Below are 23,878 nucleotides of genomic sequence, written 5' to 3'. Positions count from 1 at the left end.
TCTTGCTGCAGGAGTAGCCAGCTCGATTTGTTTTATAGGCCAAACACAAGGGCCATGAAAGCTTCAACAGACCCCAAGGGCAGCATTATTTTGTCAGTCTTGTGGCAAAGCCCAACAAAGATCCTTACAGAATGAGTACACCATATAGTTCCCGTTTGTCTCGTGAACACACGCACTAAGTGGAATTCACACCCCAAATGCTGATTTACATTTCCCAACATCCTGCCCCCTCTTTCTGAGTCAGGCAAGATCAGAGTCCAGCACTGTGCCAGGGATCGGGGGATGGAGGAACAAGAGCTTCCCAAGTAGGTGGAAAGACAACATAGGTGTGGTAGCAGAGAAATGGTCCCCAAAGATGTCTAAATCCTATTCGCCAAAACCAGTGCAAATGTTGTTACACAGCAAAGGGGAGTTAAAGCCACCGATGAAATTTATGTTGTTAATCAGCTGACCTTAAAATTAGGAGATTATCTCAGATTATCCAGCTGGCCCAATGTAATCACAAGGGTCCTTAAAAGTAGAAGAGGGAGGCAAAAGAGCCAGAGAAGGAGATGTGAAAAAGATTGGATCTGCCATTGCTGGCTTTGAAGATGAAGAAAAGGATCACGAGCCAAGGAATGCAGAGGACCACTAGGAGCTAAACAGGCAAGAAAACAGATTCTCCCCCAGAGCCTTCAGAAGGAAGCAGCCCTGCCTGTACCTAGATTTTAGTCCAGTGAGACCTATGTCAAATATCTAACCTACAGAACTGGAAGATAATAAATTGGTGTTGTTTTAATCCAATAAGTTCATGGTAATTTGTTACAGCAGCTTTGGAAAACCAACAGTTTTCTCTAGCGTTGTGGCTAAGAACATGGCTTGGAATCTGAGGCCCTGGCCTTGATTTCCAACTCTGGCATTTATTAGCAGCATGGCCAGGGCTACTCTATGAGCCTGAGTCTAGGGTTCCTCGACTGCAAAGTGAGTGTAACAGCCTCTACCCAGATTTAATGTCGAAGGATTTAATGAGTTAATGTGTAAGCATTTAACAGAGGACCTACTACATATGATGTGCTCAGTACATATCAAAAGACAGACACTGAAGAGACAGAAAACAATTAAAATCATACATCAAGCTGGGAGGTATCCACCTCCTTTCGGAACATGATCAGGAACCAGAGGGCTCAGGGTTTGAACCCTGGCTCTGTCACTAACAGTGGGATCCAGGACAAGTTACCTAAACTCTCGGACCACCCACCTTGCCTCAAAGGTCATTGCTGGGATTAGAGACATGACTGTCAATAGAGCACCAGGTCGGCATCTGCCCGTCACAGGAGGGAATAATGTAAATTACCTCTCCCCAGACGTCAACTTTAGGCACCCTGTGCTGCAGGGTGGGTTCAGTAATCCTCCCTTGTTCATAGGGCTGTTGTGAGCACCCAGGGAGAGGAAGTGCATGAGAGGGCTCAGTTAACTAAAGTACTGTCAGGATACGGGCAATTACTGCTCTCCTCTCACATTCCCAAAACACAGCTTGCTTCCAGAAAAACAATCCACAGGGATTAGACAGGAAAAGCAGAGAGAACAATCACATACACAATTTGATTTCTTTTAGTCACTGGGCTTACGGGCTAGTGTGAATTTTCATGGCCAGGGAAATTCTTTGAGGGAGGCAAAAGGGAAAAATCTGATTCTCACGCCTGCACCGCTCTTCTGGAGAGAGTGTGGCAGGGATCTCCAGACATCTCACCTTCTTCTGGTGTCTTTCAAAGACCAGCACAAGAGTCAAGGTCAGGCTCACCGCGGCCAGGGTCACGAGCAGCATGCCAGCCCAGTGGTTCCCCAAGGCAAACATCTGACTGGTAGAGTAGATATTGGCCCACACCACCACATAGAAAACCTGCAAGATGCCAGACAGAGAGCATGGTCAGGAACTTCAGTCCTTGCATAAAGCAGCTCCATTCAAAGGGACACCTTTCAGACACTACTGATACCCTCCTTGGATTCAGACAGCTCACAGCACCAGTAAGAGATTGATGCAGTCACCTGGATCTGTGAGAATGAGCTAATGTTCCTTGTTTATAAGCAAAAGTAGACAAAAAGGGTTAGTAGCTACTCCTAATCCTTGTTTACCTTAATTTTAAATAAAACAGAAAAAGGCAGGTGGATCTGAAGTGAGACAAATATCAGTTCAAAGACCATAATGATCCTTCAAGCACTATATGGCTTTGGACAATTTATAACTCCCCTAAGTCTCAGTTTCCTCATCTGTAAAATGGGGATAATAACACCTATTTCACGGCATTGTAATAAGGGTTAACAAGGCAACATAAGTAACAGCCCAGCACTCACCAGGGAATGAATCAATGCTGGTTCCCACCCTTTTCCCTTCTCCCTAGAAGTGGGACCTGGGAGTCAGGTGTGCTATTTGACCATTTATACATACAAAACAGCAGCAAATCACAGTGGTTCCAAGCACAGACGCTGAAACCAGACTGCCTGGGTTCAAATCCTGGCTCTGTCATTTATGTATGTAAGTGTTTATATGTATCAATATGAAGATGTATACATATATTTTATATATATATACATATGTGTATACACACATATATATGTACATGTATATATGAATAGAGCTGAAATAACCCATCTGTTGAGCAGATGGGGAAACCAAGTTCCGGAGAGGAGGAAAGTCTTGGCCAAGGCCAGATATTGAGCCCAGAGCCTGGGTGGATCTGCAGACTCCCAATCCCAAGCTCTGCCCACAGTAAACCCTGACTCCCATCCTTTATGCAACGACCTGGTTACAACTCTCTCCCATAAATTTCCTCTGATCCCAAATCAATGTCCATATGTACTGCTCGTTTCCAGGCACCTGGGCCAACAGCCCCCAAGCCCCTGACCCACACCAACAGGCTCCAAGACACGGTGCTGAATTTGGTGGTGCCATAAGCTGTCAGGGCAGGGTCAGTGTGCGGGCCACCTCCCCCTTACCACAGCAAAGGCCAGCCGCATAGGCCTCGAGTTGTAGATGATATATCTTCTCACTTGGGGCTCCAAGAGGGCACTCTCAGCCAAGCTCCTGTACTGGTCAGCCGGGACCTGCTTGGAACCCAGGGAAAGAGATCAATCAGCCGCAGGACAGCCAGTTTCCAGTGCATGTGACTATCATGTGGAAGGGGGATTAGGCACATTCTGGGCTGTCCCAAAGGCAGAATGAGGAGCTTGGAGCACTGGGTGGAAGTCACATGGTGCAGCTCTCAGCTCAGGGAAGAACAGGCATCATGACATCTGGAGAAGGATCCACACAGCCTCAGACTCAGTACCTTGCAGCAGACACAGGGCAGCCTGATGGTTAAGGCATAGGCCCTGGAGTCAGACAGCCCTGGGCCCAAACTCTGGCCCTGCCACTCATGTGCTGTGTGACCTGGAGCAAGTAACCCCACTCCTCTGAGCCTGTTTTTTCCTCTGTAAAATAAGGATAATAAAAGTACCCACTTTGTAGAACTAAGGTACATATTAAATAATACATGTACAGTGCTGAGCAAAGGGCCAGTCCCTCAGTGAGCACTCAATATAGAGTTGCCACTATCAATACTGCAATATCAATATCTATTAATGCTGTCCAAAAGACTGAACACTCACATCTTCCTGCCCAAACAAAAGCGTCTATAGAATATAAAGGCCCCGTGAGAGTAGAACTAAGAAAACAGAACTTAACCATTAAAATGATATTTAGGCCAGGTGCAGTGTCTCACACCTGTAATCCCAGCACTTTGGGAGACCAAGGCAGGTGGACTGCTTGAGCCTAGGAGTTCAAGACCAGGCTGGGCAACATAGCAAGACCCTGTCTCTTTTTATAAAAATAAAAAAGAATGCCAGGCACGGTGGCTCACACCTGTAATCCCCGCACTTTGGGAGGTCAAGGCGGGCGGATCACGAGATCAGGAGTTTGAGACCAGCCTGGCCAACATGGTGAAACCCTGTTCCTGCTAAAAATACAAAAATTAGCTGGGCATGGTGGCACGTGCCTGTAATCCCAGCTACTCGGGAGGCTGAGGCAGGAGAATTGCTTGAAGCCGGGAGGCAGAGGTTGCAGTGAGCCGAGATCACACCACTGTACTCCAGCCTGGGCCACAGAGCAAGACTCTGTCTCAAAAAATTAATTAATTAATTAATTGAATTGAATTGAAAAAAATTATATTTAGGAACACGGTAGAACAATACGTAAACTGTTCACCCATAAGAAAACCCAATCTGCCAGGCGTGGTGGCTCATACCTATAATCCCAGCACTTTGGGAGGCCGAGGCGGGTGGATCACTTGAAGTCAGGAGTTCGAGACCAGCCTGGCCAACATGGTGAAACCCCGTCTCTACTAAAAAATACAAAAATTAGCCAGCCGTGGTGCATGCTTGTAGTTCCAGCTACTTGGGAGGCTGAGGCATCAGAATCACTTGAACCCAGGAAGCACAGGTTGCAGTGAGCCCAGATTGCGCCACTGCACTCCAGCCTGGGCAACAGAGCAACACTCTATCTTGAAAAAAAAAAAAAAAAAAGAAGAAGAAGTAAATTCTAAAATCTTCAGGCTAAAATTAGCAGTATATCTACCCTATTCATAATTAATCCTTAATCCTCCTTGGCCTTGGCTAGCACAGGAAAGGCCTGATCATGTTGGGGGCTTTGGGAAGAGAGTAAAACCCATACATATAGGTACTTCATAACAATAATAGCTACAATGTATTGAGCATTTACTATATACTAGAGACAATGCCAGGGTTCCTCAAGCATTATTGCATTTAATCTTAACAAAAACCCCTTGTAATAGGGATCAATATTATCCACATTTACAGATGATAAAACTGAGGCTCAGAAAGGTTAAATCACCTTCCTAAAGTCACACAGGTAGTGAGCATCGGAGCTAGATCTGCATCCAGTTCCACAGGTCTGTGAAGCCTGGCCTCAAATCACTATGCTTGAAGGTACTGCATCATTATCTAATGAATTCATATGGACTTTCCCTTGTATATGCAGTCCCCTCTCCTAAAATGCCCTTCCTCCTCTCCACCCAGCATATTCCTATTTATTCAAGATCCCAGATCAAGCATCTGCTCCTCTGCAAAGCTTTCACAACCACTGCCCTCTTCCCCCAGGCAAGTTTCTCATTTTCTCCTGTGAATGTCTTCACTGCCTGTGCATTCCTCTTCTGTGGCATTTATATGATACTGTCCCAATTTCTCCCACACACGTCCATCTTCCCCGCTGGGATCTGTGGACATAGGTACTGTGTCCTGTCCACCCCTATTATGTTTAGCCAGTTAAGTGCCTGGCACAGAGTGGGCACCCAAAAAAATACACATTTGTTAAGTGAGTTAACCGGGAAGAGAGGAAAGAGAGGGCACTTCTAATATACCTTCCTTATATACCCTACGACAGCTGGTACAGACTGTTTCATAAAGATTTTGTGAAAAACTGGATGAAAAGATAGAGGGATGAATGGATGAAAGAGAAAATGGTAGGGATTCAAGGAAATCAGCACTCACCTGGATGCCCCAAGTTTGCAGTTGCTCTTCTGCGGCTCCCAGGTCGAAGGAGATGGGTGCACAGGTATTGTCAATCCGGAGAACAGTGAGGACCTGGCCATTGTGGAGCTCTGGAAGCAGACCAGAAGCTTCATCTGGCTGAGTGATAACCATACCAGGCTCGTGGGGTGAGCCCGAAGCCTGGCGGCATCACACCTCTGGCCATGAGAACCTCCTCGCAACAAGGAGGGACACGGTGGCCATCCTCAAATCCTCTTGAGAGAAGGACTGGATTTGACTGGGAAGCCCCCAGGAGGCAGAATTAAGGCCAGAGGGAGGAGGCTCCTAGGACCACAATGTGAGACCATATAAGGAAGAATTTTCCAAGAGCAAAAGCTGTCCCCATAAAAAATAGGCATTTTTTGTCCCCACAAAAAAATGTTCCCCAACACAAGGAATATTTAAACAGAGACTGAAAAACTACATTGAGGGGGGTGATGCAGTGGACCTTTATTTAAGCATTGCAAAGAATGCTCAGCTGAATAAGTTAAATTCCCAGTAGGCTCAGAGAGTCTAAGTAAGAAATAACTGGTCACAGTAGGCAGAACAATGGCCCCAAAGATGTCCACACCCTAATCCCCAGAGCCTGCAAATATACTGCCTTCCATGGCAAAGGGTGGAAGTAAGGGGGCTCATTAGCTGGCCTTTAATAGGGAGACTATCCTGAATCATCCGGGTGGGCCCCATGAAATCACAAGGAACCTTAAACGTGGAAAAGCGGGACAGAAGTAGAGTCAGAGGGAGATTTGACTATGGATGAAAGGCAAGGAGGGATGTGGCATCGATCGCTTTGACCATGGAGGGAGAGGGCCATGAGCCAGGGAATGTGGGTGGCCCCAAGGGGCTGGACAAGGAAAGGAAATGGATTCTCCCCAGAGCCTCCAGAAAGAAAAACAGTCCTGCCACCAAGGGGATTTCGGCTCAGTGAGATCAGTGTCAGACATCTAACTTACAGAACTATGAAATAACAAATCCAGCTGGGTGCAATGGCTCACACCTATAATCCCAGCACTTTAGGAGGCCGAGGCAGATGGATCGCCTGAGGTCAGGAGTTCGAGACCAGCCTGGCCAACATGGTGAAACCCTGTCTCTACTAAAAACAAAAATTAGCCGGGCGTGGTGGCACGTGCCTGTAATCCCAGCTACTGGGGAGGCTGAGGCAGAATTGCTTGAACCTGGGAGGTGGAGGTTGCAGTGAACCGAGATCACGCCATTACACTCCAGCCTGGGCAACAAGAATGAAACTCCATCTCAAAATAAATAAATAAATAAATAACAAATCTGTGGTTGGTTTGGCTTGTTGTTGTTGTTGTTGTTGTTGTTGTTTTTTGGAGACAGAGTCTCTCTCTGTCACTCAGGCTGGAGTGCAGTGGCACGATCTCAGCTTACTACAATCTCCACCTCCCAGGTTCAAGTGATTCTTGTGCCTCAGCCTTTCAAGTAGCTGGGATTACAGGCATGCACCACCATGCCTGGCTAATTTTTGTATTTCAGTAGAGACACAGTTTCGCCATGTTGGCCAGGCTGGTCTCAAACTCCCAGCTTCATGTTATCTGCCCGCCTCGGCCTCCCAAAGTACTGGGATTACAGGCATGAGCCACTGCACCTGGCCCAAATCCGTGGTTTTAAGCCAGTATGTTAGTGGTAACTTGTTATAGCAGCAATAGAAAACTAATACACTGATTTACTGTAATCCCTCCTACGTATGGCTGCAACACACTCCGCATTTCAAAAGCATAAAATACGTGTTTATTCCCTCAAAAAACACGCATCAACCCAGGCTGCTCACAACTGCTACCAAAGCCCCCGCCCTCCAAGGGTAGGATGAAGCCAGACCATGAGACCAGCTGGAGAGAAAAGTCTGGACTGAAATCCCCTCAAGACCAGGGAGGAATGGCAGCAGCACAAAGCCAAACCTACCTGCCTGCAGTTCCAAGTAGAGAAACTGGACAAAAGGATCGAGATCTCCTTGCACCACAGTACAAGGCCCTGTGAGCCACTGGTCAGCAGCCAGGAGGTCTGGGGGGTGGGAGAGATTCCAGCCCTGGGATTCTAGGATCCCAGGTTTCAGCCATGCACTGCTGAGGACTGGATATTTTGGCATATTCTCTATGGCGGCTGCTTAGACAATGAGGCAGGACAGAAGAGATTAAAGCATAAGTGTGTTGTCTGCTGATCCAAAACTCCTGTCACCCCAGTCTAGCTCTGAACAGTACTTGAGTCTTCAAAGCCAAATGACTCACTCCACTTTCCAGGAAATTCCTGGCCTATCCAAACCCTCTCTCTCCCTGCTCCCCCAATGTATCACCAAGCCCTGCCAACTAGGCAAACAAAACATCTGTCCACTCTGTGCCCTCCTGGCATCCTCACCTCTCCCTTGGCCCTCTGCAGTAGCCTCCTAAGTGGCTTCTGCTGCAAACCTACCTTTACTTCTACAATGCATCTTCCACACAGTGGCCAGGGTGCAGATCAGATGACACCAATGCCTTGAGAAAACTTTCAATCGCTTCCTGTTGCTTTGCAAAAGCCAACCTTGTTACCACGTTCTTCCAGCCCTTAGGAAAACTAGCCTCCTGCCAGACTCAGCTTGAGCCCCTCAGCCTCGTTCTATGTCTCACCACACCCGCCTCCTTCAGTCCCTGAACATGATGTTCTCCCCCACCCCAGGGCCTTTGCATATACTGTTCCTCTCTCTAGGACACGTCTACCTAGCTTCACCCAGTTACAGCCCATGCATCATTTGTATCCCAGCTCATGATTCACTTTCCCCAGAGAGGCCTCCTTGACACTCTAAACTCCTAACTGATCAAATCCTCTGCTAAACCTACCATAACTGACGCTCTTCTCCTTAATACTCGCCCAAGCTAAATACCTATGTATGCAATTATTTGATTACATATGCATGAAATTACTTGAATAAAATCTATCTTTTCCACCAGACTATACACTCTCACACTGGTTTGTTCATCACTGAATCCCCTGATCTGATACAAACAGGAGGCACATTAAATACACGTTTGGTGTATAAACAAATTAATAAGATAGGAAAAGGTTCTTTTTCTTTTTTTTTTTTTTGAGACAGCATCTCACTCTGTCACCCAGGCTGGAGTGCAGTGACACTAACATGGCTCACTGCAACCTCCACCTCCCAAGGCTCAAGCAATCCTCCCACGTCAGCCTCCCAAGTAACTGGGATCATAGGCATGCACCACCACACTCAGCTAATTTTTTTTTTAATTTTTTATTTTGTAGAGATGAGGTCACTATGTTGCCCAGCCTGGTCTCAAATTCCTGGGCTCAAGGAATGCTTCCATGTCAGCCTCCCAAAGTGCTGGGATTACAGGCCTGAGCCACTGCACCCAGAGAGGAAAAGGTTCTTTTTTCATACCCTGGGATATCATCTCTGATCTCAAGGGTTCCACAGAATTCTAAATTCCACCTCCTGCCAAAAAGAAATTTATTTTGCTTTTTTTCTCTCTCTCCTGTTTTTTTTTGGAAGTGGTGGGGGACAAGGAGGCGAGGTGGTGAGTGGTGAAAACACAAGCTAGATAGCTTTGGAGTTCAAATTGGAGCTCGGCCTCTCACTAACATGGTAAAGTTGAGGAGGAAACTTAAACCCATGGGCCTGTTTCCTTGCTTAGAGGACGTACACATCCACTGCAAAGGACTTTACAAATAATTAACGTGATAAAAATAAAGTGCTCAGCACAAGATGGGTACAAAATAACTGGCTGCTATTTTCATAATTTAAAAGCAAGCTTGTCACAACTCAAAAGTTACAATCAAGCAACATTGATTTATTTGTGTTTTTACCCTCCCACACCTTGTTCCATATTTTATTTCATAAAAATAAAATATGAAAAGATAAAACTGGCCAGGCATGGTGGCTCACGCCTGCAGTCCCAGCACTTTGGGAGGCTGAGGCAAGTGGATTACTTGAGCCCAGGAGGTTGAGATCAACCCGGGCAACATGGTGAAAAACCCCGTCTCTACAAAAAAATACAAAAAATTAGCCAGACGTGGTGGCACGTGCCTGTCGTCCCAGCTACTCGGGAGACTAGGGTAGGAGGATCACCTGAGCCTGGGAGGTCAAGGCTGCAGTGAGCCAAAATCACGCCACTGTATTCCAGCCTGGGCAACAGAGTGAGATCCTGTCTCAAAAAAAATAAGTAAGTAACTAAAACTATAAAAATAATTTTTTTTTTGAGATGGAGTTTCGCTCTTGTCACCAAGGCTGGAGTGCAATGGTGCGATCTCAGCTCACTGCAACCTCCGCCTCCCAGGTTCAAGCAATTCTCCTGCCTCAGCCTCCCGGGTAGCTGGGATTACAGGTGTGCGCCACCACACCCGGCTAATTTTTTGTATTTTTCATAGAGATGGGGTTTCACCATGTTGGCCGGGATGGTCTCAAACTCCTGACCTCAGGTGATCCGATCCACCCACCTAGGCCTCCCAAAGTGCTGGGATTACAGGCATGAGCCACCATGCCCAGCCTAAAAATAAATTTTAAAATAAGCAAATGAGGAAAACCAGAAAAAACAACAAAAAAAAAGGCAGACAATAAGAACAGGTTCTGGATGTGGAGCCATTTACTAAGCACCAGGCACTATGCTTGGGCTTCATTCATGATTTCATTTCATCCTCCAAGAGCCCCCGAAGCTTGGTACCATCAGCATGGAAAAGAAAACTGAGCCTTTGAAAAGTGAAGAAACTCCCTTGTAAACAGGGAAAATGAAAGTGAGAACAAGAAGCAAGAAGGGAAGGTAGTGCAAAAATGCAGGCAGTCAAGCAGATCCGGTCTCAGACCAGCTCTCCAGTCCACAGCAAGAATGAAAACTCCACGTTGATTTGGACTCCACGCATGGAGACTCAGAACCATTCCCAGGTCTAGGTCGTTGTACACTGAATTACGTGTTTGCCCAAGCAATGCAAAGATCCTTCAGGATGTCTTTGTTTGCCTTTCGAACCAAGAGTTCCTGGATTCTTGGCAATACCAGCTCTCATCTGTTCCTTAAAGTGAGAACAGCAAGTCCTCCGCTTAAAAATACTTGTTTTTACACCTAGGCTAAGTAAAGCTACCAAAGAAAAATGTGTGTGTCTGTGTGTGTGTGTGTGTGTGTGTGTGTGCACGCGTGCACGCACGCGCAGAGGGGGAAGCAGTTTCCTACAAAGGAACAAGAACTGACGTGCCAAAAATCAGTGAAGCAATGTCTTCAAAGTTCTGATAGAAAAATTATTTCATTCCATCTTGTTCTACTTTTGTGTGTGTGTACACACTGCTTTCCTTACATATATACACACACATTGCTTTCCTAACAACACTAGTAACAAAAGAAGCCTTTGTTTTTAAGCAGTCAAATTTCAAAGCCTCTAAAAAACCCTCCACATTCCCGTGGGCCCCCACAATTCTGGATGCTGTTTCCCCTTGCCCATATCCAGCTACTCATTAATTCTTTCATTCAACAAAATATTGATTGAGCATCTACTATGGGCCAAGGTCTGTGCTAGGTACTATAGATACAGGGATGAAAAAGACAGAAGCCCCTTCCTTCAGGGAGCTTACACTCTAGTGAAGAAGCCAGACTTCAACACTTTATACATAATTATTTACAGACTATGATAAATGCTAGAGGGAGAAACAGGAATATATCAGAGGGTCCTGACTTAGGCTGAGCCACCAGGAAGATTCTTCAAGGAAGGGATATTGAACTAAGTTCTGAAGAATGAATGGAAATTCTTTTTCTTTCTTTTTTTTTTTGAGATGGAGTCTCACTCTGTCACCCAAACTGGAGTCCAGTGGTGTGATCTCGGCTCACCGCAACCTCTGCCTCTCTGGTTCAAGTGATTATCCTGCCTCAGCCTCCCTAGTAGCTGGCATTACAGGCGCCCGCCACCACATCCAGCTGATTTTTAGTAGAGAAAGGGTTTTACCATGTTGGCCAGGTAAACATGTACTCAAGTACTGTTTGAACTCCTGACCTCAAGTGATCTGCCCACCCTGGCCTCCCAAAGTGCTGGGATTACAGGTGTGAGCCACCATGTCTGATGGATGAATAGAAATTCATCAGGAGAAAGGAGGCAAGGGAAAAGCACAACAGGCAGAAGGGAATGCAGGTGCAAAGGTCCTGAGGCAAAACAGCACAGCAAAGAATATGAAGGCAGGCCTTCACACTAAGCCCCATGGAAAACACTGAGCAGAAACTGACATGGTTGGACTAAATGTGTATTTTAAAAAGATATCTGGGGCCAGGTGTGGTGGCTCACGCCTGTAATCCCAGCACTTTGGGAGCCCAAGGTGGGCGGATCACCTGAGGTCAGAAATTCGAGACCAGCCTGGCCAAGATGGTGAAACCCCATCTCTACTAAAAATACGAAAATTAGCTGGGCGTGGTGGTGGGTACCTGTAATCCCAGCTACTCGGGAAGCCGAGGCAGGAGAACTGCTTGAACTTGGGAGGTGAAGACTACAGTGAACCGAGATCATGCCACTGCATTCCAACCTGGGCAACAGAGTGGGACTCCATCTCAAAAAATAAAAAAAATAAAAAATTAAAAACCTCTGGGCCCCATTCCTGTAACCCCAGCACTTTGGGAAGGCAAAGCCAGAGGACTGCTTGAGGCCAGGAGTCTGAGACCAGCCTGGGCAACAAAGTAAGGCCCCAACTCTACAAAAAACATTTTTAATTAGCAGGATGTAGCGGTGGATGCCTGTAATCCCAGCTGTTCAGGGGGCTGAGGTGGGAGGATTACTTGAGCCCAGGAGTTCCAGGCTCCAGTGAGCTACAATCACGCCACTGCACTCCAGCCAGGATAACAGAGCAAGACCCTGTCTCTAAATAAGTAAAAATAAATCAGAAATATAAATAAATAATAAAGAGCTCTCTGGCTGCCATGTAAAGAATAAATGGAAAAGAGAAGACCAACAAGCAAGCTACAGCAGGGGCTCAGCAGAGAGTGATGGTGGCTTGGTCTAAGGCCAAGAGACAGAACTGGTAAAAATGACAGAATATGGCCTCAAAGACACCTCCCCCTGACCTTATCTAAAGGAACTTCTGTGCCCTGTGAGTCCAGTTCAGCATGAGGTAGAAAGAAGGTGGAAAATGAAAGGTCATGATCTTACCTTGCCCCCAGCCAGGAGGGCTCCCTCCAGGCAGGGCACTCCAGCCAGGGGAGGAGGGGGGCAATGGGCCAGTGGCCCCCGGGTCCACCTGTGGTTCACAGGCCATGGCAGGGCGCCAGCTGTTTCTACTTCCCCTTCTCAGAGCTGTGGTTCATTCTGGAGCAGCCAGCTCAGCATCATATGCCTTCAGAAAACAGCACAAAAAAGAACTTCAGGCCTGAGCCTGGGCAAGCCGGGGTTCCTAGGGGCTGTCTCCAGGGCCAAAGTCACCAAAGGCCAGGGAGAGTTACCCGGACTCTTTTTGCCAACTTTGGCCTTTTTGAACATGCTGAGAAAAATTCCCAGGAGGAGAAGGAGGAGGAAGAGAAACTAAAACCTTCCAAGGCCCAAACTGAGAACTTCCCTTCTGGTCTTGGGTCTTCTCCAGCTCAGGCACAGCCAGGGGCCCACAGGGAACTCAAGAGCTGACCAGGCCCCACTGCCAGGCAGTTGGGATTTCTGTTCCCTTACAGAGGATGCCCCAGGCAACCAGGCACAGGACAGGTATATTCATTACAGGGAGTCTTGTTTACACACAGGATTTCAAGTAGCTTCCTGTAAGACACTGCAAAATACACATTAAAAAAAAAAAAAATCAGCCAGGCACGGTGGCTCACGCCTGTAATCCCAGCACTTTGGGAGGCTGAGGTGGGTGGATCACCTGAGGTCAGGAGTTTGAGACCAGCCTGGCCAACATGGTGAAACCCCACCTCTACCAAAAACACAAAAATCAGCCGGGTGTGGTGGTGCACACTTGTAATCCCAGCTACTCAGGAGGCTGAGGCAGCAGAACAGCTTGAACCCAGAAGGCAGAGGTTGCAGTGAGCTGAGATTGCACCACTGCACTCCAGCCTGGGTGACAGAGAGAGACCCTGTCTCAAAACAAAAACAAAAACAAAAACAAACAAACAAACAAAATCAGATGGTAGGAAATATAAATGAAAAAGAAGCCAGGCGCGGTGGCTCACACCTGTAATCCCAGCACTTTGGGAGGCCGAGGCTGGCACATCACGAGGTCAGGAGATCGAGACCATCCTGGCTAACATGGGGAAACCCCGTCTCTACTAAAAATACAAAAAATTAGCCAGGCGTGGTGGTGGGAGCCTGTAGTCCCAGCTACTTGGGAGGCTGAGGCAGGAGAATGGCGTGAACCCGGGGGGTGGAGCTTGCAGTGAGCAGAGATCGCGCCACTGCACTCCAGCCTGGACGACAGAGCAAGACTCCGTCTCAAAAAAAAAAAAAAAAGAAAAGAAAAAAGAAAAAGAAAAGTAGGCCGAGCACGGTGGCTCATGCCTGTAATCCCAGCACTTTGGGAGGCCAAAGTGGGCGAATCACCTGAGGTCAGGAGTTTGAGACCAGCCTGGCCAACATGGCAAAACCCCGTCTCTCCTAAAAAATACAAAAATTAGGCCAGGCATGGTGGTGGGCACCTGTAATCCCAGCTGCTTGGGAGGCTGAGGCAGGAGAATCACTTGAACCTGGGAGGCGGAGGTTGCAGTGAGCTGAGATCGTGCCACTGCACTCCAGCCTGAGAGAGCAAGACACTGTCTCAAAAAAAAGAAAAAAGTAGCAGCCACAGAGAACAAAAATACCCAGATATTCAAGCAATCAGGCTCCCTAGCAGAGACAGTGGTGGTTTGTTTTGAAGAACATGGTCTCCAAAGTCAGACTAACCAGTTTAAACGCCAGTTCTAGGCTGCTCTGAAAGTAGTGCATTATCTCAATTGTGTGTTCACAGTCAGTTACAGACCAAACTCCTTGTTCTACTCTTTTCTCCCCTTCTCACTACTGCACTTGACTAGCCTCAAAAAAGAAATGTTTTTAAGCCAGCTCTACCACCTCTTAGTTATGTCAACTTGGGCAAGTGGTTTAATCTTAGACAGCTTCAGCTCTCCAAATCTGGGTACCCTCCCCACAGGGTTGCCGCAAAGGATCAATGGATGACACATATAAAGGACATACAACAGCATCTGAACAAAGGACACTCTCCAAAGCCCCTACAGCCAGGTCATTGAGAGGCGTAGCAGGAACCACTCAGTCACGTTCATCAGCAAAAGCAGTGACACCACCCAGCACGGTGGCTCACGCCTGTAATCCCAGCACTTTGGGAGGCTGAGGCGGGCGGATCACTTGAGGTCAGGAGTTTGAGACCAGCCTGGCAAACATGGTGAAACCCCGTCTCTACTAAAAATACAAAAATTAGCCGGGCATGGTGGCAGGCGCCTGTAATCCCAGCTACTCAGGAGGCTGAGGCAGGAGAATCACTTGAACCCGGGAGGCAGAGACTGCAGTGAGCCGAGATCACGCCACTGCCCTCCAGCCTGGGCGACAGAGAGAGACTCCATCTTAAAAAAAAAAAAAAAAAAAAAAGGCAGTGACACCTGTCATGGGTGTTTCCTTAATGAGAAACTGAGTTTCCAGTGCCACTCCCTCCAGCAGCAACCTGCACATTTACCTCTGTTATGTGTCCTCCAGCAGGCCTGAAAATCACCCCTCACCAAGGAAAATCAGGCTTATGTCCCCTGGGATGACACACCAGCCCTGCTAACTAACCATCTTGGTGAAAGGTCTACTAGAATCGTCTTTTGCTGCCATGGTTCTAGATGTTTGTGAAGATATGAAGTGGCCAGTCAGCACACATCTTCATGATTCCAAGCTGGCCCAAGGGCTGATGGCCACTGATCAGGCCCCCTAGAGGGGGAACAGGGCTCTCATGCCCTCACCATTTTTCACTTCTCTCAATACTTTAAACAGCAGCAGCTACAGAATGGGCCCAATGCGAAATGAAAATGTGGGGCCTCTTCTACAAAAATAATGAAGAATTTCAAGATGGCGACAGCACAGCATTAAACCAAATGGGAGGGGCTTCCTAAGTGGGGGACCCTGTGTGACTGCACAGATTGCATGCACCTGAAGCTGGCCCCGATTTTCAGCTCTGGAAGATCACTTAGGAGCCCCCTCTCCCAACCAAGACTATGTAAAAGACAAGCCTTTAACAATTATCATGTATCTGCCCTGCACTGGGCTCTAAGGCTACAAAGCAGCAAACTATGAAAACATTGAAGACTTTAGAGCCAGAAAACCTGGACTTAAATTCCCACTCTGCCACATACATGCTCTTTGACATTAGCTGTCAAGGTACTTAACAACCCGAACCTTGCTGTTCTCATCTGTAAAATGGGGATAGAGAGGTCTACCTCCTATAGCTGCTGTGGGGATGTAACAGAAGGAAATGCAAGCATAATATCCAGTACTCGGCTCACCAGACAGGCCCCTTTCCTCAACATGATTTTCCTATTTTACAGGAGAAAAAACCGCAGGTCAAAGATGTAAAGTGACTTGCCCAAGGTTGGGAGGCTATGCTACCAGCCATGGAGCCAGGAGATAAACCCAAGCCATCTGGCTCCAGGGTCCAAGCCCATAATTTCCATGCCCTTGCCCCTCTGCACTCTAGTGTGACTGTCTCTGAGAATGTTCATGAAATCACCCTTACAAAACAAAACAAAACAAAACAAAAAAGAGTGAGTCAAGGGAGACTGCATTTCCCAGGCAAGATCAAGCAACAAATGCAAGTCAGCCCTGAGATGCTACTCTGGGGATGGCAGGGGCCTTCTCCTCCTCACCTGGCCCACAGCAGGAGACTCTCCTAAATATGCTAAGTGTTTCTCACTCTCATCACGCCTTACTTTCTTCCTGTACCAACAAAAATAGCCACAAGGATCTCTGCCCTGCACTTGATAATCACTGAAGCCCTTCCCTCCTTCATTTGATCATCTCTTAGGCCCCTGAGGCAGATATAATTCTGAGATCCATGTTCCAGACAAGAAACGAAGGGACATCGTAGCTAGGGGCCTACAGCCCAGAGAAGCTGTACTAGAGTCTCAAAAAGGCCTGGGGGACCGAGCAGCCACGAGGGACCATGCCCAGGCTGGAGTTGCACAGGTAGCCTTTCAGACTGCGTGGAAGGTTCCATTTGTTGCAAAATCCCCCCATGAGGCAATGTCTTTCAGAAGAAACCACAGCACTCTACTTGGCCCCATCAGCCTCTCACAAAGTACTAATCAGCAGGCTTTATTCCATTCACCTGGAGGCTGTTTCCTGTAATAGCTAAAAGTAACCGGCCCTGTCCTGCCGCTTCTCACCTGTGTAACCTTGAGTAAGTTACTTCTCTGCCTCAGTTTCCTTACATGTAAGTGGGGATAACGACAGTAACTTCAGGTGGTTGTGAGGTTTAAAGAGTTCACACATGTAAATCACTCAAAATAGCACTGGGCAAGTAGGAATCATTGAAGAAATATAGCTGCCATCATTTTTACTCCACAGACATTTCCTAAGCACCTTCTCAGGCCAGGCCCTGTGCTATCTTGAGCACGAAACTGGAAATAAAATCTGAAGTTCCTACTCAGCCCTCCCTGCTAGGGATCACCATCTGGTAGGAAAGACAAACTCAGGGAAAGACAATTACAAAACAAACAATTGCAACAAGGCAGTGAGAGGGAGCACCTTGGTTGGGGTGGGGGAAGGGTTCTCCGGAAGGCTTCCTGGAGGAAGGAGGCTCCTGGGCTTGGCAAAGGTGGAGGTGAGAGCCAAGAGAGGCCAGTGCCAAGCAGAAAGGGATATGGACCAGAGGCCAGGACATGCCCATCAGGGCAGCCTGTGTGGTCACCTTGCAGCCCCTCATTCAACCAGGAAGCTGCAGAGGGCAGGAGGGGTGCTGGCAAGACCTCAAGGGCAGATGCCTATCATATGTCCTGAACCCCATTTCCCCATCCAGCTCAGCCCTGCACCAGCCCGAGGATAACACAGAAGGTCAGACAGACAGCAGGGTGGAGGCAGAGCAGGGGGAGTGAGCACAGCCTTGAGGCCCCTGCAACTAAGCAGGAAAACTAGAGCTTCTCTGGGTCTCCTCTGCTGATTCTGCATTTTAACCAGAACTTCCAGATATCCATCTTGCACAAGGTCAACTCCCCTCTTTTTCAGCCCGTAGAGAGCATCTGCAAAGGAACATACTCTTAAGTCCTATTGCGCAAAGGCCCCCAGCTCTGCAGACACCGAGTGCCCAGCCTCCCCGGGAACTATGTGCAGCACTGAGATTCGTCAGTTTCCTAAGTCAGGTTTTGTTTTGTTTGTGAAAAACACAACACGAGACCCTAAGAGGGCCTGTTACAGAAGTTTCGGGGCGGAAAAACCTTGAGACACAATGAGTCCGAGCTCTCCATTTTACAGGTGAGGACGTTAAGACCCAGAAAAGAAAGTGTACCATCCAAGGTCAAGGAGCCAGTCCTGGACTGGGCCAGAATTGAAACCCAGGCTCCTTCACGCCAGCTGGAGCTGTCTCGCCATACACGGCCTTGGCCTTGGGCAGCTGTCTCGTCCCAGTCTCAGTCTCCGCCCTCTGGAACTGTCCAGGTCGGCTGAGGATGGGGGATCTCCTTCTCCCCATAAATCAGTCTGGCCCTCCCCAACCGCGGGCCCCCAGGAGGCTTGTCAGAGCCGCTCCCACGGCCGGCACGCGGGGGAGGGGCCCCAGGGCGCACGAAGGACCCCCCGCAGGCTGCCCGCCGCGCCGAACCCAGGCCGTCTGGCCCGAACGCAGGCCAAGGCGGAGGCGCCCAGGCTGCTTCCCGGCCCCGGAGCCCCACAGCACCAAGCCCGGATCGCAGGACACGGGCGCGCGCCCGGGCCCGCGCACACTCACCGCCCGCGCCGCCGCCGCCGCCGCCGCCGCCACCCCGGGACGCGGAAGGTCGGGGGCGCCGAGCCCCTAATGCCGCAGCCTCTGGGCACCGCAGCCCCGCGCCCAGCACGCCTCCCGCGCCGCGCTGCGCCGCCTTCACGGGCCCGCCCCCCGCCCGGCCGGCCCCGCTCGGTCGCCCAACCCCGAGGAGCCGCCCGCCGGACTCGCTTTGGGGCCAAGAGGGAACGCGCCTCCCGGGCCCGCGGCGGAGCGGAGCTGGAGGCCGCGTTTCATCAGCCGAGCGCCCCCCCGGGACGCCGGAAGGAGCCTCCGCGCGGAGCCGACCACGTGCACGGCATCTTGGGGCACGGGTTCCCGCCGTCTCCCCACTGTAAAGGAGCGGCTTACTCCAGAGGTCCAGCCCCCTCACACACAATCACGGAACCCGTGGATGAGGCAGTATTTGAGACCAGAAGTTTATTGGGGACTTGGGTTTGGTTTTTGTTTGGTTGGTTTTGTCGTTGTTTTTAGAGTCGGGGGTTTCGCTGTGTTGCCCAGGCTGCTATCGGACTCCTGACCTCAAGCGATCCTCTTGCTTGGCCTCCCAAAGTGTTGGGATTACAGGCGTGAGCCACCGCACCTGGCCGGGGACTTGTTTCTAATGGAAAATTGTGTATGTGCTGTATTGTTAAGAGCATTGGTTTGGGGTCAGACTAGGCTGTGATTCGGGTCTCTCCACTTCTTATTATCGTCTTTGGTAAATTATTTAACCTCTTTGTGCCTTCGTTTTCTGTAAAAAGCAGATAATTATAGCTACTTCATGAGGTCGTGTGAAGATTTAATGAGATAGTGTGTGTGAAATGTTCACAGCTACCAGACACATACTCACTCGTGTTCCCAATTGCTATACTCACAAGGGCTCACTCCCATCGCCATCCTTCGTAATTTCAAAGGGTCTACGGTTAAAAGTAAGTAACCTTTCCCCTGAGGAAAACACTAACCTTGTGCTTTCCTTGTATTTTTCCTTAGAGCACATATGTACCTGTGCGTGTGTGCGTTTACACAAAGGAAGGCCTTTTCTATTCTGTTGGGCACTCTGCTTTTTCATTCGACAAAGTACCTTGGCGCTCATCGGCCAGAACGCGCCACACTGCCTCATTTCCTTTTAAGGGGCACATAAACGTCCCTATATTAATATTAGGTTTGCGCAAAAGTTATTGCGTTTTTTTGCCATTAAAAACATTACAGGCTGGGCGCGGTGGCTCACGCCTGTAATCCCAGCACTTTGGGAGGCCGAGGCGGGAGGATTACCTGAGGTCGGGAGTTCGAGACCAGCCTGATCAACATGGGGAAACCCCGTCTCTACTAAAAATACAAAATTAGCCGGGCCTGGTGGCGCATGCCTGTAATCCCAGCTACTCGGGAGACTGAGGCAGGAGAATCGCTTGAACCCGGGAGGTGGAGGTTGCGGTGAGCCGAGATTGCGCCATTGCACTCCAGCCTGGGCAACAAGAGCAAAACTCCATCTCAAAAAAAAAAAAAATTGCAAAAACCGCGATTATTTTTGCACCAACCTAATAGAAAGGGTCTTTGTTTTCTTAACCCTTCTTTCTTAGTGGACATGAAGGTGATTTCCAGCCTTGCTGACAGGCCTTGCCCTGATACACATAGCAGCATTGTTGCATACACGCAAACATGCCACAGCCTGCATTTCTTTCTTTCTCTTTCTCTTTCTTTCTTTCTTTCTTTCTCTCTTTCTTTCTTTGTTTCTTTTTCTTTCCTTCTTTCATTTCTTTCTCTCTTTGTTTCTTTTTCTTTCCTTCTTTCTTTCTTTCTTTCTTTCCTTCCTTCCTTCTTTTTCTTTTTCTTTTTCTTTTTCTTTTTCTTTTTCTTTTTCTGAGACAGGGTCACTCTCTTGCCCAGGCTGGAGTGCAGTGGTGCAGTCACAGCTCACTGCAGCCTCGGCCTCTCCTCTCAGGCTCAAGGGATCCTCCCACCTCAGCCTCTCTGGTAGATGGGTCTAAAAGTGCATGCCACCACTCCCGGCTAATGTTTTTGTTTTTGTTTTTGTTTTTGTTTTGTAGATGCAGGGTCTTACTATGTTTCCCCAGCTAGTCTCAAACTCCTACACTCAAGTGATCCTCCCACTTCAGCCTCCCAAAGTGCTGGGATTACACGTGCAAGCCACCATGCCTGGCCCATTTCTATAAGTAGATGTGCTGAGTCAGAATGTACATGCTTGTTTGTTTGTTTGTTTGTTTGTTTGTTTGTTTTTGAGATGGGGTCTCGCTCTGTCACCCAGGCTGGAGTGCAGTGGTGTGATCTTGGCTCACTGCAGCCTCCACCTCCCGGGTTCAAGCGATTCTCCCACCTCAGCCTCCCGAGTAGCTGGGATTACAGGGGTGTGCCACCACGCCTGGCTAATTTTTGCATTTTTAGTAGAGACAGGGGTTTCACCATGTTGCCCAGGCTGGTCTCGAACTCCCGACCTCAGGTGATCCACCCGCCTTGGCCTCCCAAAGTACTGGGATTACAGGGGTAAGCCACCGCACCTGGCCTATGCATGCATTTTTTTATTTTAACAGATATTCCAAATTGTTGGGAAACTCTCAGACCCCAGAACTTAGCTGGCTGCATGCTCGGCCAGCCCTCAGAGACAGCATGATTGGAGGCAGGAGCAGGAATTGGCAACCTGAGAAGTAGATACCACCCAGGCACCCTCATTCACAAGGATCCAGGTAGTGGGCTACTAAAAATGAAGTTCATTCATTTATTTATCCACAAATGGACATTCAGTACCTGCTAAGGGACAGGCATTGTACTGAGCAAGAGTGAACAATACACACCAGGTCCCTATTTAGTGTGCCTGATTTCCAAACAAAACAAAAACAAAAAACAATTTAGACGCGTGGGAGCAAGAGCCTCAAGAGATATTGAAGCTTTACTCACTGATGATAGGATATTAAAAGGGATCCTGCAACAGGTGTGTGGCCTGATCACCATCTATCTAAACCCTACCTCTCCAACAAGGTTGCCCTCCTCCATGAAGCCAGATGTGGTCCCCCTGCCCTTTCTGCCAGGCTGCCTTTACTCTTCATTCTCACTGCTGGTCACTCCAGCGTGAACTTAGTGCTGACACATCAATCTCCTATACCAGGGAGGCACAGAAGACAGGGGCCTTTGGAGCTGGCCCACCAGGCTCTACCACTTACTGGCATGTGGCATTGGCAGGCAGCTCAGCTCACTCTCTGAGTTTCAATACCCTCATTTATGAAAGGCAGATAACTGCTAATCTGGGAGATTGCAAGAATTAATTGAAGTGATGAAATGCTTAGAAGAAAATGCTCAGTAAAAGTGTGGTGCATTCTTGGACAACGAGGTATCATGTGTTTGCATCTCTGAAATGTCACCAGTGTTCAGTCCTGGCATAGCAAGGAGGAGTGGGTGCTCATGTAGAATGGAGAAAGGACAATAGAATCCAGTGAAAGTAGGGTGAAATCCAGTCAGGTGTGCTGGAAAGCAGACTTCAGTAGTGATCATCTTGAATCCACAAGGTCCTTGTGGTGGGCCCAAGCCTCTCCCCACCCACAGCCTACCCTGGACTAATCTTTACTCACTCTCTCCCAACACGTAAAAACCCTATGCTCCAAAAATACAGAGCATCTCTCATTTCCTCCTATAACCCTCTCCCCCTGTTCTCTCACTTCTAGTTCTCAGTGGTTGCCATTCTCTCCCATCTGGAAAGTTGTCTCCAAACCCCAGCCCCATCGTTCTACCTGACGAACCAACTCATTCTCGGGTTTCAGCTGAAAGGGCCCTTCTTCTGGGAGCCCTGCCCTGTCCTGGGCCTAGGCCAGTTCCCCATTCTCATAGTTCATTCTCATAGTTACTCTTGTTTGTTTGTTTCTGGCTTTGTGTGTTTTTATTTTTTGAGACAGGGTCTCACTCTGTCACCCAGGCTGGAGTACAGCAGCGCGATCTTGGCTCACTGCAGCCCCGACCTCCTAGGCTCAAGTGATCCTCCCACCTCAGCCTCCCAAGTATCTGGGACTACAGGCATGCACCACCATTCCCGGCTAATTTTTTATTTTTAGTAGAGACAGGGTTTTACCATGTTGCCCAAGCTGGTCTCGAACTCTTGAGCTCAAGCAATACACCTGCCTCGGCCTCCCAAAGTGCTGGGATTACAGGTGTAAGCCACTGCGTCCAGCCCTACTCTTGCTTAACCTACACTCATCCCATACCCATCACATGGTATTGTCATTGTTCAGTGTCCCCTTTCCCAAAAAGAGAGTAAGCCTTTTGGGCATAGGGCTGTTTCTACCCATGTTCATAGCTATCCCCCTGCCCCTAACCCTGTCCTCAGTAATTGTTAAATGCATATGAAGTAGTGAATGAATAAATATGAATGAAATCATCAGGGCCTCAACTATAGATAAATCCAAATAACCACAAACCCCAGCCAAAGCCACCCTTACTCAGCAGTTGCTCCATCTGTCCTGTTGTGTCTGTAAGGGTTACAGACCCAGGGCTGAGGGCTAGCTGCCAACACTGTTTGATAACTTGGATGAAGTAAGAGAATGAACTTTTTTCCAGCCTGGCAGAACCTTAGTGTTGCAGCAGATGGTACTGAGAGAACCTCAGAACTGCTGGATGAGTAAGTGAAAAGGCAAAGATCAAAAGATCAAAACTTACATCTTGGTGTTTTTTGGTTTTTTTTTTTTTCTTTTGGAGCTCATGTGCCAGTTATAGATTCACTAACTTCCTAAACTTTTCATGGAGACATACTACTTGGAACATTGCCATGGCCTGAACAAATTGAACCAAAGAATGCAGTATTAGTAATTCAGGCTGGGAACTCAGACAGACCTGGGTTTAAATCCAGACTTCACCACAAATTGGCTCTGTGACCCTGTAGCCTCAGTTTCCTAATCTGCAAAATAGAAATGATAATACCTACCTCATAGAGATGGTAGGAAAATTAGATTATGTATATAGAGTACCTTGAATGCCACCTGGTATAAAGTTGATGTTAATAAATGTGAGCTATTTTAGAAATTATTTCCGAAAGTGTGTCCCACAGAATGTTCCGTTGCTAGTGGCTCCATTACATTGATTTCAGCTCCCGGAAGTCACATCCTCAAATGACGGACTCCACTATGGGAGAGGTAGACTAACTGTACGTGAGAGCTTGGGACTAAATACATAGCTGTGCTTGGCAGGAGGTGTGCTGGAAGTCAGACAGATCACATGCTGTTTGTCAGGAAACCGGGCCTAAGTCAGAAGAAAAAATCCTCTGAATTCCTATCAGGAAGGCCAGCAATCCCCCCGGGGCAGATAGGGGTCAGGGATCTGTTTCTACACTATGAACAGAAAGACAAGTGCCAGGGTCAGAAGAGTCAGAAGAGGGAGAACTCCCCTCTAGCGGCTGTGGAGAAGAGGCAAGGGCAGTTGAAGGCAATTGGGCTTTTTTAACTAGGTAAC

At 48.2% G+C, this 23,878-nt stretch overlaps 1 protein-coding gene across 19 annotated transcripts in view, besides 6 other annotated features; it reads right to left on the bottom strand.

Annotated features, from left to right (window-relative positions):
• Positions 1–23,878, bottom strand: part of TMEM268 (transmembrane protein 268) — a 42,519-nt gene that overhangs the window by 16,443 nt on the left and 2,198 nt on the right. For 3 of the 19 annotated variants that reach the window (XR_001746225.2, XM_011518350.2, XM_011518353.2), the window contains exons 1-6: positions 18,416–18,689; positions 12,679–12,862; positions 7,480–7,677; positions 5,521–5,630; positions 2,974–3,084; positions 1,730–1,879 (exon numbers count right to left, since the gene is read on the bottom strand). Coding sequence is in view for 16 of the 19 variants with exons in the window: in XM_011518350.2 (XP_011516652.1) it covers positions 1,730–1,879; positions 2,974–3,084; positions 5,521–5,630; positions 7,480–7,677; positions 12,679–12,784 (675 nt within the window). In the remaining 3 variants the exon portion in view is untranslated. The other 16 variants (XR_007061260.1, XM_011518352.2, XM_047422923.1 and 13 more) reach the window with 9 other exon arrangements.
• Positions 10,284–10,613: an enhancer, noted in NCBI's record as "active region_28873". NCBI's record gives its function as "activates an Ori minimal core promoter by ATAC-STARR-seq in GM12878 lymphoblastoid cells {active_cell/tissue: GM12878}" and the evidence as "EXISTENCE:reporter gene assay evidence [ECO:0000049][PMID:35858748]".
• Positions 12,831–13,330: an enhancer, noted in NCBI's record as "active region_28872". NCBI's record gives its function as "activates an Ori minimal core promoter by ATAC-STARR-seq in GM12878 lymphoblastoid cells {active_cell/tissue: GM12878}" and the evidence as "EXISTENCE:reporter gene assay evidence [ECO:0000049][PMID:35858748]".
• Positions 18,058–18,337: a silencer, noted in NCBI's record as "silent region_20216". NCBI's record gives its function as "represses an Ori minimal core promoter by ATAC-STARR-seq in GM12878 lymphoblastoid cells {active_cell/tissue: GM12878}" and the evidence as "EXISTENCE:reporter gene assay evidence [ECO:0000049][PMID:35858748]".
• Positions 18,448–18,657: a silencer, noted in NCBI's record as "silent region_20215". NCBI's record gives its function as "represses an Ori minimal core promoter by ATAC-STARR-seq in GM12878 lymphoblastoid cells {active_cell/tissue: GM12878}" and the evidence as "EXISTENCE:reporter gene assay evidence [ECO:0000049][PMID:35858748]".
• Positions 18,698–18,777: a silencer, noted in NCBI's record as "silent region_20214". NCBI's record gives its function as "represses an Ori minimal core promoter by ATAC-STARR-seq in GM12878 lymphoblastoid cells {active_cell/tissue: GM12878}" and the evidence as "EXISTENCE:reporter gene assay evidence [ECO:0000049][PMID:35858748]".
• Positions 21,900–21,959: an enhancer, noted in NCBI's record as "active region_28871". NCBI's record gives its function as "activates an Ori minimal core promoter by ATAC-STARR-seq in GM12878 lymphoblastoid cells {active_cell/tissue: GM12878}" and the evidence as "EXISTENCE:reporter gene assay evidence [ECO:0000049][PMID:35858748]".

The sequence above is a fragment of the Homo sapiens genome, chromosome 9 (assembly GCF_000001405.40).
Source record: "Homo sapiens chromosome 9, GRCh38.p14 Primary Assembly".
NCBI classification, from domain to species: domain Eukaryota; kingdom Metazoa; phylum Chordata; class Mammalia; order Primates; family Hominidae; genus Homo; species Homo sapiens.
Note: the sequence above shows the minus strand (reverse complement) of the source record. Positions and strands in the feature narration are given on the sequence as shown.